Source organism: Homo sapiens (genome assembly GCF_000001405.40).
Source record: "Homo sapiens chromosome 16 unlocalized genomic scaffold, GRCh38.p14 Primary Assembly HSCHR16_RANDOM_CTG1".
In the NCBI taxonomy this organism is placed as follows: domain Eukaryota; kingdom Metazoa; phylum Chordata; class Mammalia; order Primates; family Hominidae; genus Homo; species Homo sapiens.
In genome coordinates this window covers 1,128,451-1,148,196 of record NT_187383.1, presented here as the reverse complement: position 1 = coordinate 1,148,196, position 19,746 = coordinate 1,128,451, and the positions used below count along the sequence as shown (strand labels likewise).

The 19,746-nt window shown below is 60.2% G+C and overlaps 1 pseudogene across 1 annotated transcript; it reads left to right on the top strand.

Moving 5' to 3' along the window:
* The first annotated feature begins 567 nt into the window (after nucleotides 1-567).
* Nucleotides 568-8,625, top strand: SLC6A10PB (solute carrier family 6 member 8 pseudogene; annotated as a pseudogene). Its single transcript, XR_001756138.3, has 14 exons — nucleotides 568-872; nucleotides 2,385-2,516; nucleotides 3,308-3,557; nucleotides 4,001-4,133; nucleotides 5,070-5,204; nucleotides 5,292-5,395; nucleotides 5,516-5,610; nucleotides 5,929-6,038; nucleotides 6,151-6,291; nucleotides 6,368-6,470; nucleotides 6,557-6,657; nucleotides 6,740-6,910; nucleotides 7,092-7,263; nucleotides 8,246-8,625. The product of XR_001756138.3 is annotated as a solute carrier family 6 member 8 pseudogene, transcript variant X1 (transcript).
* The last annotated feature ends 11,121 nt before the right edge of the window (nucleotides 8,626-19,746 follow it).

Below are 19,746 nucleotides of genomic sequence, written 5' to 3'. Positions count from 1 at the left end.
AACAGTCGGAACGCGGTGGCGAGTCGCTGAGCCCGCCGCGGCCCCGAGAGCGGCTGCAGCCGCCGCCGCCCAGAAGGAGAGGGCGAGGCGCGCCTGAGCTGCCGCCGCCGCCAACGGAGTCTCGGGTGAGCCGGGCAGCCGCCGCGGGCCCCGGCCGGGGCCGGGGGCGCGGGCCACAGGCCCCTGCTCCAGCCGCCGCTTGCAGACTGCGGGCGCCGATATCGCCCGCGCCCCGCTAGGCTGAGCCTCGGGTCGGCCGAGGAGCCGTGGCAGCCGCCACCGCCCGAGCCGCGGGCAAGAGCCTCGGAACCGCTGCCGCGGACGCCTGGCCGGGCCCCGCCGACGCCCGCGCGCCCCCGGGCCCCTGACACACAGGAGATTCTTCAGGCTCACTTTCAAGTGCTTCGTGGACTGCTTCTGACTGCGCCGCCTGTGACCCGCACCCCGCCGCCCTCCCGCCGCCCCGTCCCCCGGCCCGGCCGCCCCCCGGCCCCCGGCCGGCCCGCGCCCTCGGGGCCCTCCCCGGTGCCGCCGGTGCCCCGCGCCTGACCGCAGCCCCCCGCAGGGTGCCGCGACCCCAGCCCGGCCGTGAGGCCCGCAGGGGCCATGGCGAAGAAGAGCGCCGAGAACGGCATCTGTAGCGTGTCCGGCGACCAGAAGAAGGGCCCCCTCATCGCGCCCGGGCCTGACGGGGCCCGGGCCAAGGGCGACGGCCCCGCGGGCCTGGGGACACCCGGCGGTGGCCTGGCCGTGCCGGCGCGCGCGATAGACCTGGACGCGCCAGATGGACTTCATCATGTCGTGTGTGGGCTTCGCCGTGGATCTGGGCAACGTGTGGCGCTTCCCCTACCTGTGCTACAAGAATGGCGGAGGTGAGCTCCCCCGCCCCCCGCGGCCCCCTCCCCCAGCAGGCCGCCGGCCCCTGACGCCCGACCCCCAATCCCCGGAGCCGCCGCGGAGGGGTGAAGTCCGGGCAGCGGTTGGCCCCTGGGCACGCGGGGTCGGGGCCGCCCCTGGTCCACCGCTGCTGCTCGGTGGCTGGGCCGTCCGCCTCCACCCCTCTCGCAGTCATGTGCCTGGCAGGGTGAGGGGCGGGGGCCGGCGATGCCCGCGAGGCTGCCCCCCAGACTCCTGGGCTGGAAGGAGCGATTGGCCGCCGAGGTGGGAAAGCAGGCCTGCGCCTTGGGGTCTCCTCGAGGTAAGGAGCCCTGGCTGCCCCTGCGGGTCGGGCACACAAGCGGCACATTGTGTGGGCCCCCCACGTGTGCACACACACGAACACACACACACACAATGGGCCACTCTGTCCCTCTCCCTGCCCTCCCCTCGCAGCCCTCCCGCTCCTCCCCTCTGGCCCGGGCCTGGAACACTGGGTACCTGAGCCAGGCTTGGGAAGCCTGTGGCCTGGCCCGCCTGGCGCCGCCACTGGAAACACTGCATGCACGTCCCATGCCCGTCCGCCTGCCCGGGCCCAGCTTAGCAAGAGCGATGGGCACGCGTGTGTCCTGTGACTACAAAACAGCACTGGGGTTTCTGGAAGCCGAAGTGACCCAGTGATGGGTGGGAAACAGAGGTCCAGAGCAAAGGCCTTTGCCCAAAGTTAGGAGAAGGATGCTGGGACCTGGAGTCAGGCAAGTTGCAGCCAAGCTCGGCCTCTGAGTAGTGGAGCGAGCCCAGCCAGGGCAAGGGTAGGAGGCCCAGAGAGGAGAAGGGGGTAGTGGCACCCAGCTCTCCCTGCCCTTTTGCCACCCCCACCCCAGCCTGCTGGCCAGGGCCTGTGCCATGCCCTGCCTATCTCCTGTAGAGCCTGACTCCCTGGGCTTGCTAAGGCCGGCCTGGCCCCTCTTCCCGCACCTGTATCCCTCTGTCCTTGCACGTGGCCATCCCACCAGCAGGGGACTGTGACCCATCCGCCCTCTGCCTTGGACCTCACACTTGCAGGCAAGCGTCCAAGTGCAGGACAGTCGCGCTCCCTGCCTTTGGATGAGCCCCTCAGGCCTGATCACCCAGCCTTGGCGCACATGCACACACGCACGTGCCCTCACTGTGCTGCCTGAAACAGGGAATTGCGGCACTAGGGACAGGCTGCGTGTCTGAGCGTGCGTGTCCTCCATGGCCATCACCCCAAGTGACCGTGGGGGTGGAAGCCCTGTGGGCCTAGCGCCTCTCTGCCACCCAGGGAATAGGACTTCAATGGCCCAGGGGCTACTGTAGCACCTCTTCAACACACTGAACCCAGCCCCTCAAGACCCTACGTGGCCACCCCTACACTGACTCACCCAGTGGGAAGTTGTGATGGGGCCTTTGGAGTCTGGGCTGGCCCGCTGGGCCTGGGCAGCCTGGCTGGGGGCCACCCTGAGTCCACCCTGTGCCTCCACCCCCAGGTGTGTTCCTTATTCCCTGCATCCTGATAGCCCTGGTCGGAGGAATCCCCATTTTCTTCTTGGAGATCTCGCTGGGCCAGTTCATGAAGGCCGGCAGCATCAATGTCTGGAACATCTGTCCCTTGTTCAAAGGTGAGCAGCCCTTGGCCAGCCTCAGGGACTGCCCCCTTTTCCCAGCTGGCTCCCACTTGAGAAATCTTTTCCTGTCCTGAGCACCAGGCCTGGGGCCACGTGATGGCATCCCAGTCTCGAGGGGGGAGCCTGGAGGAGATGTTCAGGCCGCACAGTGAACTTGGGGAAGCAGGGACTAGAGGGGGCATAGGCAGCTCCACAAGGCAAGGACAGGCCAGGCATAGCCGGGCTGGGGATGGGACCTGCCCAGCACACTTGGCTCTCTAGGTAGGTCCTACTATTACTGTCCCCAAGGACGCTGGGGCACAGACAGGTGGAGCGACGTACTGAGGTTGCCCACTACGGGGGCAACTGTCTCCAACACTACCTCAGGCTACTAGAAACTCCCCCCCTCCCCACCACCACCACCACCAGCTGCTGAGGACTGGAGCTACTGGGTGGCCAGGTGGAGGCTTGGACCTCCTGGAACCGCCATGGTGGCAGTGGGACCCACAGAAGGGGCCAGGTGTGTAAGGCTGGAGACTCAACAGCACTTGGTCAGATGGGGACAGGAGGAGAGGGGCTCGCTCTGCCTTGGGTCTAGGGGGCGGCTGGAGGAGAGGAGAGAGGCTGGGGAGTCAGCCCAGTGTTGGGGCTCACACAAGGGGGAGTCCAGGGGAGTCAGGAGCACCACAAACAAGGCTCCAGAAGGACAGACGGTGGGAGCACTGCCAGCCTGGGTGGGGAGATAAAGGGGTGGCAGGGGAGGTGGCCAGGAAAGAATCTACATGGCAAGGACTTCCCGGCCCCAGGCCTGGGCTATGCCTCCATGGTGATCGTCTTCTACTGCAACACCTACTACATCATGGTGCTGGCCTGGGGCTTCTATTACCTGGTCAAGTCCTTTACCACCACGCTGCCCTGGGCCACATGTGGCCACACCTGGAACACTCCCGACTGTGTGGAGATCTTCCGCCATGAAGACTGTGCCAGTGCCAGCCTGGCCAACCTCACTTGTGACCAGCTTGCTGACCGCCGGTCCCCTGTCATCGAGTTCTGGGAGTGAGTCCAGCACCTCTGGGCCAAGCCCATCCCATCCCCCAGGTCTCCCTCATGTTGCCCGGCTCCAGGGGAATGGCCCTGAGAGGGGACCAGGGTGTTTCTTGGCAGTCCCTCCTGGACCCTGCCTGCCCTTGTCTGCCCTCGGAGAGTCCTGGGGCCAGCCCCAGGGGCTGCGCCAGGTCAGCCTTGCTCCTGGGTTCGGCAGCCTATCACTGTCCTGGTCACTCCCGCCTGATGGGGGAGCTGGGGCTGCATGTGGGGTGGGATGGGAGTGGCCTCCCAAAGGCCAGGGGCTCGTGGGCTCCAGGCCCAGCCCAGATGGACAAGAGGGCCCACTGAACCCTGGGCTGTGGGAGAGAAGGGAGCCACGACTCCTGGGGGTGGACCCTGTGGCTCCATCCTCTGCTGGCACAGGCCTCATGGGACCTCCCTCCCTCCCCTAGGAACAAAGTCTTGAGGCTGTCTGGGGGACTGGAGGTGCCAGGGGCCCTCAACTGGGAGGTGACCCTTTGTCTGCTGGCCTGCTGGGTGCTGGTCTACTTCTGTGTCTGAAAGGGGGTCAAATCCATGGGAAAGGTACCACTAGAGGCATGCAGGGGGGAGGGTGGCTCAGCCCTGGGAGCTGGATGTCTGTGCCAGGCACACCCGTGGCAACGGGAGGTGACCAGACAGAGTCTAGCCCTAAGGAAGGGGGAGGTACTGAAAGCCAAGCAACACTCCCCACCCTGCAAATCCAGGGCCCAGCAGCCTTTGCTCCTGTGGGGAGAGGCCCCAGCAGGCACTGTCCCTTCCCTGTGCCCATCACCCCCACCGGTGCCCTCCTGCCAGTCTCTGACTCTTGTGACAGTCTGCTGGACCTGGTCTGGCCATCTGTTACCTGCCTATCTTGCCTTGGGGACACAGAGCAGAGTCTGGCCACATCCCTTGGGGGCTCCTGGTCAGGCTGGGGAGTCACCTGAACAAAGAAGACAATGTCCAGAGCTGTGGGACATGGCCAGCTCCCTGGGGGACAAGGTCCCCAGAGCAGCATGTGGGAAGAGGGGGCAGACAGTGTGGCAGCCGCATCTTGCCTGCCTCTGCCTGGCCCAGTTCCACTCTTCACCTGCTCAGCCCCGACCTCTCTCCAGAAGAGGAGGGGGGCCCGGCCCTGATCCAATATCCCGCTCCCTGCCTGGGCCTCCCATGCGTGCACTGCCCACACACTCACACAGCTCTCACTCCCCACATGCTCCATGCCTCCTGTCCCCACTGAGGAGAGCTCCCAGAGGCCCGCCCGCTCCCCACTGACATGCATCCCTGCAGACAAACGAGGCGCCCAGAGAGCTTCCCCACTGCACTTGCCAGGGCTGCCGGGGCCCAGCCTTGCCCCTAGCTTCCTCTGGCGGGAGCTATGGCTCGGAGGAGAATGGGGACCTCTGAACATACCTGCCCGCAAGGGGGACCGGAGGTGCTCGGAGTGGGCTTGTGAGGGAGGTGGTGCCGCAGTCCCCGCTGAGCAGCCTGGCCCCCCAGATCGTGTACTTCACTGCTACATTCCCCTACGTGGTCCTGGTCGTGCTGCTTGTGCTTGGAGTGCTGCTGCCTGGCACCCTGGACAGCATCATTTACTATCTCAAGCCTGACTGGTCAAAGCTGGGGTCCCCTCAGGTGAGGTGGAGGTGGGGAGGCTGCAGCAGGATGTTGTGGGGGAGCCCTGCAGGCCCCTCATGCCTGCGCTCTCCAGCCCTCCTCTAGGTATGGATAGATGTGGGGACCCAGATTTTCTTTTCTTATGCCATTGGCCTGGGGGCCCTCACAGCCCTGGGCAGCTACAACCGCTTCAACAACAACTGCTACAAGTAAGCACTGCTGCCCTGCCACCCGTGCCCTGTCCCGCCCTGCCCTGCCCAGCAGCCTAACCCATCCACTCTGGCCCCTCCACCCCTCCAGGACGCCATCATCCTGGCTGTCATCAACAGTGGGACCAGCTTCTTTGCTGGCTTCGTGGTCTTCTCCATCCTGGGCTTCATGGCTGCAGAGCAGGGCATGCACATCTCCAAGGTGGCAGAGTCAGGTAGGGCCCTACCCCCAGCCCCGCCGCCAGAGCAGCAACTGCCACCCAGATGCATGATGTACAAGAACACGCAATAGAAATGCTGAAAAGTGATGAGGATTCAAACAGAACTTCTCAGATTGTGGGCCTGTGGGGGCAGGTCCTGGGATTTTTCAATGTTGACAGAGACAGGACCTCCCAGCCCCTGCTGCATGACCCAGGGTTGACAGCACCTCAGAGGCAGGCATGGGCATGGGCGTGAGTGTTGCAGGCAGGGCTCAGGGTGCGCGCAGGGCAGGACATCGGCTGCAAGGTCTAGAGCCTGCACCTTTCCCACAGGGCCGGGCCTGGCCTTCATCGCCTACCCACAGGCTGTCACACTGATGCCAGTGGCCCCACTCTGGGCTGCCCTGTTCTTCTTCATGCTGTTGCTGCTTGGTCTCGACAGCCAGATTTGCATGGGGCTCTGGGACAGGGAGCCAGGAGAGGGGCGGAGTGAGGGCTGCGGGCAAGGAAAGGGGTGGAGGGTGGTGCGGGGCTCGGCCTGAGCTGGCCTGGCCACAGTTTGTAGGTGTGGAGGGCTTCATCACCGGCCTCCTCAACCTCCTCCCAGCCTCCTACTACTTCTGTTTCCAAAGGGAGATCTCTGTGGCCCTCTGTTGTGCCCTCCGCTTTGTCATTGATCTCTCCATGGTGACTGATGTGAGTGGGGTGGGGGGTCTGCCTGTGACCTCTGGTGGCCGTCTGCCATCCTCCCTGACTGGGCTCTGTCCCCCAGGGTGGGATGTATGTCTTCCAGCTGTTTGACTACTACTCAGCCAGCGGCACCACCCTGCTCTGGCAGGCCTTTTGGGAGTGCGTGGTGGTGGCCTGGGTGTATGGTAGGTCATGGCTGAGGGCTGGGCTGGGGCATGGTGGCGGGGAAGGCAGGTCTCCAGCTTGGCCCTCCCGCCTCGCCTTGCCACAGGAGCTGACCGCTTCACGGACGACATTGCCTGTATGATCGGGTACCGACCTTGCCCCTGGATGAAATGGTGCTGGTCCTTCTTCACCCCGCTGGTTTGCATGGTAAGGGCTGGGGGAGGTGGGGCGGGGTGGGGGGGGCGGGGCGGGGTGGGGGCCCCATTAACCACGGCATTCTGGTCTGTAGGGCATCTTCATCTTCAACGTTGTGTACTACGAGCCGCTGGTCTACAACAACACCAACGTGTACCCGTGGTGGGGTGAGGCCATGGGCTGGGCCTTCGTGCTGTCCTCCATGCTGTGCATGCCACTGCACCTCCTGGGCTGCCTCCTCAGGGCCAAGGGCACCATGGCTGAGGTAAGGCTCCCTCCCGGCCTGCCCTCCCCTCCCCTGCTATGAACATTCAACCCAGCCTGCTTCCTAGCCAAGGAGTGGCCCTGACTAGGGTGGCAGGCAGCAGGAGCTGGAGAGAGGCAGAGGAAGTCACCATGGGGATGAGCAGGTGACTCTGGGGGCTTCAACATGTCCTCTCCTGCAGTGCTGGAAGCACCTGACCCAGACCATCTGGGGCCTCCACCACTTGGAGTACCGAGCTCAGGATGCAGATGTCAGGGGCCTGACCACCCTGACCCCAGTGTCCGAGAGCAGCAAGGTCGTCGTGGTGGAGAGTGTCATGGGACAGCTCAGCTCACATCACCAGCTCACCTCTGGTAGCCATAGCAGCCCCTGCTTCATCCCCACCCCACCCCTCCAGGGGGCCTGCCTTTCCCTGACGCTTTTGGGGTCTGCCTGGGAGAGGAGGGGAGAAAGCACCATGAGTGCTCACTAAAACAACTTTTTCCATTTTTAATAAAACGCCAAAAATATCACAACCCACCAAAAATAGATGCCTCTCCCCCTCCAGTCCTAGCCCAGCTGGTCCTAGGCCCCGCCTAGTGCCCCACCCCCACCCACAGTGCTGCACTCCTCCTGCCCCTGCCACGCCCACCCCCTGCCCACCTCTCCAGGCTCTGCTCTGTAGCACACCCTTGGGTGACCCCTCACCCCAGAAGCAGCAGTGGCAGCTTGGGAAATGTGAGGAAGGGAAGGAGGGAGAGACGGGAGGGAGGAGAGAGAGGAGAAGGGAGGCAAGGGAGGGGCAGCAGAACCAAGACAAATATTTCAGCTGGGCTATACCCCTCTCCCCATCCCTGTTATAGAAGCTTAGAGAGCCAGCCAGCAGTGGAACCTTCTGGTTCCTGCGCCAATCACCACCAATATCAATTGTGTGAGCTTGGGTGCGAGTGCACGCGTGCGTGAGCACGTAGAGTATATATAGATCTCTATCTCTTAGCAAAGGTGAATACCAGATGTAAATGGTGCCTCTAGGCAAAGGAGGCTTGTATTTTGCACATTTTATAAAAACTTGAGAGAATGAGATTTCTGCTTGTATATTTCTAAAAAGAGGAAGGAGCCCAAACCATCCTCTCCTTACCACTCCCATTCCTGTGAGCCCTACCTTACCCCTCTGCCCCTAGCCTAGGAGTGTGAATTTATAGATCTAACTTTCAGAGGCAAAACAAAAGCTTCGAGCTGTTGCATGTGCGAGTCTGTTGTGTGGATGTGTGTGTGTGGTCCCCAGACCCAGAATGGATTGGAAAAGTGCATGGTGGGGGCCTCGGGGCTGTCCCCACACTGTCCCTTTGCCCACAGGTCTGTGGGGCAAGAGGCTGCAATATTCCATCCTGGGTGTCTGGGCTGCTAACCTGGCCTGCTCAGGCTTCCCACCCTGTGCCCTGGGCTGGGCACACCCCCGGGAAGGGACCCCGGACACGGCTCCCACATCCAGGCTCAAGGCGGATGCACTTCCTGCACCTCCAGTCTTCTGTGTAGCGGCTTTAACCCACGTATGTCTGTCACGTCCAGTCCCGAGACGGCTGAGTGACCCCAAGAAAGGCTTCCCTGACACCCGGACAGAGGCTGGAGGGCTGGGGCTGCGTGAGGGTGGTGGGCCTGCGGGGACATTCTTACTGTGCTAAAAAGCCACTGCAAACATAGCAATAAAAACCTGTCATTTTCCAAAGCAGGCCTCTGCTTCTGCCTCTGCTGCTCTAAGGGGTCGAGGTGCAGGAAGTAGGGGGAACCTCCTCCAGCTGGAGCTGCTGTGGTGGGCAAGGCTCTACTCTGGAGGCCTCTGAGGCCGGCACCCTTCTGGGGACTGGGAAGGGAGCAGGGAAGGCAGCAGCCCAGGGAAAACCTTGTCCCCCTGGAGCCGAGGCACCTGGGGAGAGCAGGATGAGAGAGCTGGAGAGCAGCCACACCCACGGGGAAGGATGGGTGTAAAGCCATGGGTGCTGAAATTTTCAAAATGTTACCCCAAGAATTTGTCACTGAACAGGTGCCTTGTGTCACTTGGGCCAGGCTGATAGCAGCAGAGGGGATAACTCTTTGCATCAGGGATCAATTTTGAAGGTGGAGCCAGTAGGGGTTGTGCATGACCAGGATGCAGGGCTCAAAGAGGAGTTAAGGACAACAGATTTGGCCTGAGCAAGAGGAAAGATGGAGCTGCCAGGTCCTGCAATGGGGAGGCAAGGAGAGAATGGTCCGGAGTCAGCCTTGGGTGTGTCATGCAGGAAGTGTCATCCAAGTGGAGATGTCTAGTTGGCAGGTGGACACAGGAGTTCCAGAAAGTACTGGAGATGGAACTTTGCAAGTTCTTACCACATAGAGATGACACTGAAAGCCCTGAACCTGGGTGAGCTCACAGGGACGCCGCAAGTCCGGGGACACAATGAGAGGGGCAGAGGGAAGATGTGGCAGCAATGGGGGAGGATGCCTGAGAGCTCCTGGTGGGGTCCTGCAACCTGAGCCAGTGAGGACCCCTCACAGGTCAGGGAGGAGCAGTGGCTGGCTCCATCTGTCCAGTGCTGCTGCTGCTGCTGCTGCTGGTGAAGGACAGTGACCTGCAAATGCTCACTGAGTCTGGCAAGGGTCACAGGGGCCTGGTGAGGGTGGCTTGCATGAGGGGTTGCGTGTGAAAGGCTGGTTGGTGTGCGATTGAGAAAAGGAGTGGCGGCAGCCCATTGTCATCTGCAGACGAAGGGAGAGACAACAACATAGTTTACCCAGACAAGGAAATATGAGCCGGCCTGGAAAGGGAAGGCACTCCAACACACGACACAACATGGCTGACCCCTGGAGGGCATTTCTGTGAAATGATCCATCATAAAGAGACACTTGCTATAGGGTTCTGCTCCTGAGAGAGAGACAGGGCCTTACATGAGAGGAGGGAGATCCACAGAGACAGAGGGCAAGGGTGGGTGCCAGGGGCTGGGGACAGGGTGGGGAGTGTTGAGTGGGGACAGAGTGTCAGTTTGAGAAAATAAATTCTAGAGGTGGACGGAAGTGGTGGCTGCGCAACACTGTGGCTGCACTTAATGCCACTGAATTGCACACTTAACGATGGTGAAAATGGCTCATTACATATACATTGATGACACTATATATATGTGTGATATACATGCGTTTTACCATGAGAAGAGGCGGAGAGGAATTGAAGACAGTGAGTACAGACAGGTCCTTCAAGGGGCGGGACCCATGCACAAGATGAGCATGTGGCACCCCACCCTGAAAGGGCTGGGCACCATGGCAGGGCACAGCAGGCAATGCAGTGGGTGGCTCAGGCAAGCACAGAGAGCATCAGGGATTGGAGCCTGTGAAGGGGGAGCAGGTGACCCCTCAGAGCAAAGTGACAGCTTGGGCTGCTCCCTTTGCGTCCTGCCCAGGACTGCTATCGTGCTATGGGAGAACCCCCAGAGGCCCTGCTCCTCAGCAGGCAGCACCCCCTATGGAGGGGCTTTACCCCTAAACTTCTGGAGCCAGGAGAGGGACCTGGCTTAGAATACGGCCAACCAAGAGCCTGGGTGAGAAATACATGGACCAGACAGGGAGCAGAGAAAGGAGTGGCAGCGCAGTCCCACCCTAGCTCAGCTGGGGGCTCTGGAGCCTGCTCTGGCCCCCATCTCTTCGGCAACCACTGTTTCTAGTTTTCTTTTTCTCCCCGAGAAGCCTGTCCTCTCACCATGCCTGCGCCTTCAAGAACCCCACCTGGCTGGCAGCTCCCAGATCTCCAGCCTGGCCCTCCTTAGCTGCAAAGGTGCTTCCCAACGTCGGCAAGACCTCTCCCTAGGGTGCCCCAGGCCTTCACACAGCCCCTGTCCCCAACCGACTCCAACTGTCCTGCAGCCCACGGTCACCCTCAGGACCCCTGAGCTCAGGCCAACTGCTTTATACACTGTCAGCCAGGTCTCTGCCTGGATGACAATCACCCTCTGCTAATTGTTCTCCACACCTCCAGGCCAAATGCCCTCCAAGCCACCTCATGCACCACAATGACACCAAACACACAGAAAAAAGACATTGAAAAAAGGAAACTTCACAGAAGCATGTCATTTAAAGTGGGTTCTGAAATGGAGACACCATTACCTCAGGACTTAGCTCCCGCATGAGGGGTTAGGACACAGAGATCAACAAGCAGCAGGCTTTGCCCTCAAGCAGCTCACAGTCTAGTGGAAGATGGGTAAGAAAACAGATCAGGATGCCCACGGGTGCAGATGCCCTGGAACAGAAGCTGATCCAGGAAAGCGCAAGCCTGCAGGCCGCCCTCCAGTCTAGGCTGGGCAAGCGCCTCAATTTTCATCTCTAAGAGCCTGTGCCCACACCCCCTGCCCCAATGTTGTTCCATCACTCCACTAGAAAGGGCGCTCCAGAAGCTGGCCTCGTGCAGCTTTCTGTCTGCTGCTAGCCTAGGCAGAACAGTGGAAGAAGCCATCAGGGCTGGTGAGGGAAGCACCCATTTGGACTTTAGCCTTTCAAAGCTCAGAGAAGGGTGAGCTCAGGGAGGCCCAAGGTAGCCGAGAACACTTCCTGGAGAAGTGGTATCAGCCTTCGGCCTTGGCACAGCAACCAGAGGGTATTGCCCACGTGTCCCCTACTCCCTCAGACACCACCTCTCAGACCGCCTGGAAAGGGACAGAACTTGTCACGAGGCAGCTGTGCTCTGAGCACAAGGGAAGGGCGACAGGATGCTAGAGAAGGGAACCACTGGCCTGGGCCTGGGCAGGGCAGGCAGAAGCAAGCATGCACAGCAGGCCATCAGCTACCCTGCCAGCATCAACATCCTTCAGGGGTCCCCCCAGTTCCAGGAGACACACCTCTAACCTGCTCCCCTGACCCTTCCGCCCAGTCCTCATGCAGACACCAGGCATGGCAGAGGCCCTGCAGGGTGGGAGCACTGTGCTGCGGGCGGGGACTGCCTTCCTCATGTGCTACTGGAGAGCAGCACAGTGCAGGGGCCTGGGCACTGGCGCCAGGCAGGAAGCCTCGGTTCTGGCCTGGCTTGCTGTGGGCCTGGAAGACACAGCTTTGAGGGAGCCACGGGAGGGACGCCCTGGAGCCAGCACCAGCACAGCGCTCTGGTGGCAGGCACACACCCAGCACGTTCTCAGGGCCAAGGGCCCCAGCCCCTTTCTGCCTAGCTCTGCCCTGGGCCAGCTCCAGGTCACTGCCAAGGACAAGTCTCCTCTCCCAGCTGGCATTAGTCAGAGGTCATCCTGCAAACCTTCAGGAGGGGGTGGGGCAGGGAGTGACTAGTGGCATTCTGCCACGTTCTGTCTGTCCCAAATGTGACGAACGGGAACCCAGAGAAGGCAAGCGAGTCCTCTACCCAGAAGCCCTGCCGGTTTACTGAGCCTCCCAAGCTGCCCACACCCAGGGAGGCAGACAGGACACACACTCAGTGGGTGGCCCTGAAGCGAGGCCTGGCCCAGCCCGGGGAGCAAGAGGACAGAGAGGGCAGGGCCTTTGAGAACAGGTGTGAGCCTGGCCTTCAGTGGTGGAAACAGGTTGAAGGCCTGTGGCCCCTTGGGGGCTCCAGGCAGGAAAGAAAGCAGAGCCCTCTCCATGGCCACAGTCACACACCGCACCACATACACACCATGACAACTTTTATTGCCCTCAAGAGAAACTCCAGTCCACCTGCTCCACCCACCCTCCTGCGGGACCAAAGAAAACACCCAGAGGGCAAAACAAAAAAGGGCTCAAACCAACAGGAAGTCAGCCCCACCGCAAGCCAAACTACAACTAACTCGTGTCCTCCACGCTCAGGCGTGGAAGCCAGGGCTGTGCCAGGCCTGGCCAGGCCAAGCAGGATAACAGCAAATGCATTCTGAACGTGTAGCAATCAGGTACCCTGTAATGTGCTTGGAGAGTGTGGACAAGGGCCAAGATGACGAGCTATGAGCTGTGGAAGGGAATGGGGGAAGTGAAGGGCACAAACAGAAGTACTGGAGGGAGAGGCTGGGCTCTCAGGAAGCAGCAGGCACGTGCCAGGTGGAAGCCAGCTGCAGGCCAGGGAGGAAGGAGGCCCTTACTCTTTCTTCTTGTCCATGGGACCAACTACTGTAGCCTGGAAAGGGACAGAAATCCCACAGCAGTAGGTTGGCCAGGTCCACTCTTCCCCTGCCATCTCCAGCCCCCTGCCCCAGAGGTCCAGCTCGGTTCCCCTCTCTCCTAATGAGAGCTATTCAAGTGAGCAAGGGGCCCCCTCCCCGGCTACACCCAAAGGCCTGCCAGGGTAGGAGCATCAGCCCTGGCCCACGCTCTAAGGAAAGCCCTGGACCTAACGCCAGCCAGGGAGGACTGCCAGGACCTCACTGGGGGCTGAGTCCTGGCTGCAGGGAACAGCAAGGTATCCAGTACCCTTCAAGACCTGATCAGGCCCTTCCCAACTCTGCACACCTTTGACAGGTGCCCTCGAAGCCCAAGTCCCGTCTGCCAAGCCTGCCCTATACAGAGGGCATGGGTGCCCTCTTTGAGGCTGGACCCTTCCTCCCCACCTGCTGTGGTGCCCAAACTTGGGCCACCAAGCACTGAGGCCAGCTGTCCAAAGTTAGGAGTATTTATGTGGCCCTCACTCCCAACGTCAAGACCGCCTGGCTTCCAAATGTGGCCTGGTGCACCCAAGCTAGTCTGAGGACTTGGATCAGGCCTAGGGCAGCAGGTGATGGCCACAACTAGTGCCTGCTAGGGGAGGTGCCTTTTTGACACCTTGTGCCCTTACTTGCCCAGGGATCTTTGCCCTATGTCACCCCCCAGCACTCTAGGAAAGAAGGCCAGCAGTGGGTCCCAGAGTTTCACCTGCTTCTTTGTTCTTGACTGGGCCCCAAACCATGGAATGAGCCTGAGCACGAAGATAGGAAGGCTTAGAGCCTAGTGAGCCAGTGCCACTCCTGAGGGCTGCCTCGGCAAGTGTCTACATCTGCTGCCAGGCCACCCCTCTCCTGCCCGGTGAATGGTCCCACTCGGTAGGGCAGAGGTGGCCAGGGGGAGTGGGGGAGAGGGCAGCCGGCCCCTGGGCCCCTGGAAGGTTCCCTCCGCACCCGCAGGGGCTGCCTCATCCTGCTCTGCTTTCCTGCCCTGGGCGCAGCGATACGTGAGGGCTGACCTGCAGCTTTGCGTGCTCCTACTGCAAGCGGTCGTACTCCTTGGTGAGGCCCTCAGACTGCTTCTGCATGGCCAGAACCTGGTTTTCAGCTTTCTCTAGTTCTTGAAATGATGTAAATGACCAAGAAAACAGAAATGAAAAGACAGGAATCGGGGGTAAAAACCCAGCTTCTACAGACACCAGAAACTGGCCCAAATCTATCTCAAACGAGGTTATACAGGAGCCTACTTCTCAAAATAAAACCGCTCTGCTTTTGCAGGCCCCCAAAGTAGAGGGAAAGGCTGACAAAAAAGCTCAAGATAAAGCAAAAGAAATACAGAGGACATCCCCCAGTCCCTTTAATGGAGGGGAACTCTAGTGGCTCTCGGCAAGGGTAACCTCCAGGGAGGCTGAGAGTGGGAGACAGGGAACAAGATCCCAGCCTGAAAGCGAGACCCAATGACAACCATGCCTTGCAGACAGCAGCAGCAGGCGAGGCCTGTGGTATTGTGGGAAAACGCCCCAGACTTAAGTCTATGCATGGGAGACCAAAGACAGGCAGGCCGCCTGGGAGCTGCCCACTCCGCTCCTGAACACCACTCCCACACTCCCCTCATTCTAAGCCCCCAGGCAGGCTGGGGCTACCGTGCCACACTCTGGATGGGAAAGCCCCAGCGTGCACTGCTCTAGCGCAGGGCAATCGAGTCCCACCAACTGCAGCCTGGTTCCTCCTGAGCCCCATTCAAACCACTTAGTCTCACTGGCCTGCCGGCTAAGCATGGCTGCATTGGGGTTGGAGGCATAGGGTGCTATTTGTTTGTTTTCACACAGCCCTTGAGCATGCGTGCAAGGCTTGTTACTAGTACTTTGGCACAAAATGGGCAGCAGCGGGCAGAGGACGCTCCTCTGGACTTCCCTGCGGGGAAGGACATGAGGTCAAGCCTCACTTTGCTTAGTGCTGGCCAGCTCATCCTTTAGCTTCTGCAGCTCAGCCTTCAGGCTCCTGTTCTCTTCCTCCAACTTCACCTCAGCATTCCCGACATCCAACTTGCCTCCGTCAACAGCAGCTCACTGGGAAAAGTGCCAAAGGTCAGGGTTACTCAGGAGGGAGGGAGGGAGAGGTTCCAGCCCCATCCTCCCCACCAAGCTGCGGTTCCTCAAGCTGCCCTGGCCACTCGCCTCTTCGGAAATGTCAACGCGGAACAGAGCCACCACTTGCTCCCAGCTCTTAGGCAAAGGCCAGGGCGTGGCTGCCCGCCAAGGGGAAGAGAAGCGCCAGTGGGGCCACCTGCTGCAGCTCGCCGGGCACGCCTTGCCTGCCCTGGCCCCTGGCCCTGCCTCCTTCCCGAGCAGCAGGGCTCAGCAGCTCCATGGTGCTCACCAACCCCTCCGCGGATGGCGGTGCCTTGTGCTCTCTACACGGTGCCACTCACTGCAGTCAGGGGCCCCCAGTCGGCCTGGCCAGCTCTATCCCACCTCTGCATCCACATCCCTCCGAGCTTGCCTTGCAGCTCACCTCCTGACAGGACTTCTAAGACTGGCCAACTACCCTGGCCCCACCTCCTCTCCAGCACTGAGGGATGCCACAGACCCCGAGTTCCAGAGGGGGTGCGGCAATCTTGCAGGGAACAATGGCCTAGCTGAGGGCTTTCGGTTCACAGCAGAGGGCCTGGCTCACTGAGGGGCCATTTTTCTCAGGGAAGGGTCTGACTGGAAGCAATGGATGGAAACGTGAGCAGCAACACCCTCCTCCTCACCAGGACCCCCACACACAGACGTCTCCAGCAGGCATACTCTCCCCACTGAGGACTTCCCCTCTGTGCCTCCACCCAACTCTGGCTTTTCAGGCACATTTCCCAGGGTGATAGGCTAGCAGTGGCCACTGAGGCCCTAAAGAATATGGCTCCTGCAGTATAACACCAGGACGCCCCATGGTGGGTCGAGAAACTGGACTCACCTTCTTGAGCTGGTCATTCTCCGTGTACTTCTTGGCCGCCTCACTAGCACTCTCCATCTGCTTTTTAAAGGCTTCATTGGAGGCCAACAGTGTGGCCTGCTGCAAGATGAGAGTCACCAGGCATCTAAGCAGGCGTGATTATTTACAAAAAGAAGGGAGAAGTGAGAAAAAGTGCATGAAGGGCTGGCAGGAGCACCTCCTGGTTGCTGCCACTCAACACCTGGCTCCAGCCTGGACCTGCCCTCTTGCCAAGGCAGCTGAGCGAGAAGCCGCCAACCTGGTGCTGGCAGCGTGAGGGAAAAGGTGGAGCCCAGGAGCTGTCCTCTGCCGCTGTGCCCAACGGCCACCCTCAGCTCTGGGAGGGGCTGGAAGCAGGAGCCTGGGGGCTGGGAAGAGCCTCGATACAGCATGAGGTCCCGGAACGTGGCACTTTCCGGGTCGGGGCCTAGACGTGCCAGACAAGCCACAGCACCACCTTCCTCCCCTCAAGGCTGGGCTTGCCTTGGTAAGGTAACGAGAGAAGCTAATTAATCTGAGCACTTCCAACATGCCAGGCCGCATCCTCACATCTACCTGATGAGGAAGTTACTATCACTGCCCCAGCTTATAGAGAAGGAAACTGAAGTTCAGCAGCGTAAATCAATGTACCCAAGGCCAAAAACCAGAAACGGACATGGCTGGAATTCCAAATTATGTCTGCCTGACTCCAGAACCTGAGCTTGGAACCACTCTACTCTCTAAACTAACAGGGAACGGCTCCCAGGTCCCAACGTAAGATAGAACTCTCTTCTCTGGCCAGCCTCCTTCCCAACCCGTCATTCAGGCTGCACTGGAACACATCCGTTATGTAACAGCACCCCAAACGAGGTCTTCTTGGGCTGGAGGGTGTACAGGAATCAGGACACAGGCACACGCTGCCTATCTGAAGAAGCCAGGAGAGACAGGCAAACACGTGGCAGCTGGAGGCAGATGCTAGTCCCCAAACAGAGATTGGAATGGCCACTTCATTTCCCTTGGTTCACCCTTGCCCCGAGATGTTAGCTGGCAGGAACAGAGGAGGGAAGGACTTGTTCAAACAGTCAAAACAAGGCAGGGGTTCCTTTCTCACACACCTCAGAAGGCAAGGGTCACACAGGGCCTGGGGGAAGGAAGAGACAAATCTGCTTAGTCCAGGGTGCTTCAACAACAGCTTACTCAGAAGAGTCGAAGTGGCCTCCTGCCCCAGCCAGGCCTTCACACTTCGCAGCCTCTGCTCATGGCCAGGGGCAGCCCGGAAGGGCTGGAGAAAGTAGAGAGCAGACAAGGTGAGCTACCTCCCTGGCCCAAGCCATGGCTGTCCAGGGCCTCGGAAGAGCCCCTTTCGAGATGTACTCAGGACAGAAAGTACCCACCCAGGCCAGGAGACACCCCTGAGGTTCCCGGTTTGGGGAGAGGCTCCCAGGGGCCCCTGGCATCACCAGAAGAGCCAGGCCATTGATTCCTGGCAGAGAAGGAGAGTTTCCAGTGACATGTGCTTTCTAAAATTAGTGGCCCAGGACCTCGTGGCCTAGGGCTCAAGTTTCCCTGCCTCAACCCCCAGCTGCCGACCAGCCTGCCCCCGACTGGGCTACAGCCTGAAGGTGGAGGAAGCTACTGAGCGCCCTAGGAGCCAGAGAGAAAGAACGCATCTGACTCACATCGGCATGGCCAGAAGTCACTGGAGAGGCCTAGAAAGAAAGGCAAGTCTGACTAAGACCCAACCCCCGGCAAGGAGCTGCCCAGCCCCAGAGCAGATCCCAGTGATGTAGAGAGGAAGAGGACCGCTACTCCTAACTGGAATTGAGGGGTGGGGGTCATGCCACCTGGTGGTAGAGAGAGGACCAAGCAAGACTGAAGGCTATAATCCCCGCCACCAGGCCAGGCAAGCGGCTGCTGGTGAGTGCCCATGGCTGTCACCCCAGTACCCAGGGAAATAGCTAACACAAATGCTTCCATGGCAGTGCAGCAGAGGCCCAGCTCTTTTCGGACCGTTCCAGGCCTTTCCCGGCTATTGAGAACCAGGGCTTCCAAGATACGCCAGGGCATACACAAAGTCCAGCGCAAGATCCACGCCGTGTCTGTCAGAAAGCCTGACCCTGCTCAGCCCCAGCCCAGGCCTTTAGTTCCCAGCCTTCAGACAGTCTGGGGCTCCCCTCTGCCAGGCCCTGGTTCCCCTTCCTCTTGCCAACCCTCAGAGGTGCTCCCCACCCCCACAGCACCCTAGGCATACTCCTCCCACTGCACCCCCAGCCTGATAGTTCTTTTTCACACCTTCTAGGTCCTCTCTCTTCCTGCTGGATGACCCGGGATCATTCTCCCCCCAGGAACCTCACCTTCAACTGCTTCCTTCCTGGAGTCACCCTGCCCAAGCCCCTGGTCTTTTCCCTCACATGTATTCCTCAATCTAGGCTGGCCAAAGCCTGCCCTTCCAAGCCAGTAGCAGGGCCACCAGTGGCCTCCTAACCACCCAGGCAGGCGGTTACCCTGAGCTCCTTGCTCTGCTGCTAAGTTACCCTCCTGAGGTCCCCTCACAACACCCTCCTCCCACTGTTATTCTGCTCCCTCTGGGATCTGCACTCTTCAGCTGACACCCTATACCTTCTTCCCAGCCACTCTTATCCCTGAAAGGGTTTTCTCTGCGGCCCAGACTCACACCTAACCTCCTGCTAAACATTGGCTCCTGGATGTCCCCAGAGACATTCTAGACTCAGCTTGTCCAAAATGGGCCTTCCCTTGTCCTGCCTGACCTGACCACCTCGTGTAGCCCCTGCTGTAGTCGTGGGCAGGCAAACCACCTTAGACTCGGCCCTCTTGGCCCCCTAGCCCAGGCCACAACCCAGCGCTTTCCATGTCAACTGCAAACATACCCGCCATCATCCCCACTGCTGGCGCCTCCTCCCTATCTGCCACCATACGGCTTTCCCATCCACCTCCCAGAGCAAGGCAAATCCGACCACGTCAGCCCTCTGCTTAAGCCACCTGCTGCCAGCACGCATGCCCTCAGTGAGCTCTCCTCCCTCACTAACCACGTGGCCCCCTTCTCTAGTAACACCTAACCCCTCACCATTCCTGGGACACACCTGGCTCTGTGTGGCAGTCCTCCAGGCCGTAATGTCCTCTCGACCCAGCTCAATCCTCACCTCCCCCCCAGAAACCCTTTCAGATCTCCCACCCCATCAGAGGGACGCCTTCTGGGGGCTCCTGCAGCAGCCCCCTAGGCACCTGCATGTAACTACCTCATTCTCGGTTCTCTGCGTGGCTGCCATCCATTTATATGGCTGCCCTACCAGGCTATGAAGGTCTTTAGTCTGGGCACTGTGCCTTCATCTCTGCACTCCCATACCTGGCACACTGAAAAGGGGTCTTGCACCCACTCCAGCAAGTATAGCTAAAAAAAGGGGGGCGGGGGGCGGGACTGGGCTTCCAGATGACCAGATCCCACTCCCAGGAGAGGAAGTGCTCCCTGATAGGTACAGATTTGAGGCTGCATGTAAGGCTGGACAGAATCTCCCTGGGCCTAGATTGCACCTGTGTTCACCTGGGAGCCTGGCACCAAGAGTGGCAGAGACAGACACAGAGCTGCTCAGTCTAGCAACAGAGGAGACAGAAGACAGGGGTGGGAAGGCGCCATCTCAGACCCGTGCTGATGGGCAAGCCAGGCTCATGGCTGCAGGGAGAAAAAACATTCAATGCCACGACCTGAAGGCACAACCCAGAGCTCCAGCCTCTGCATCCTCACACCCTCAGCCCCCACCC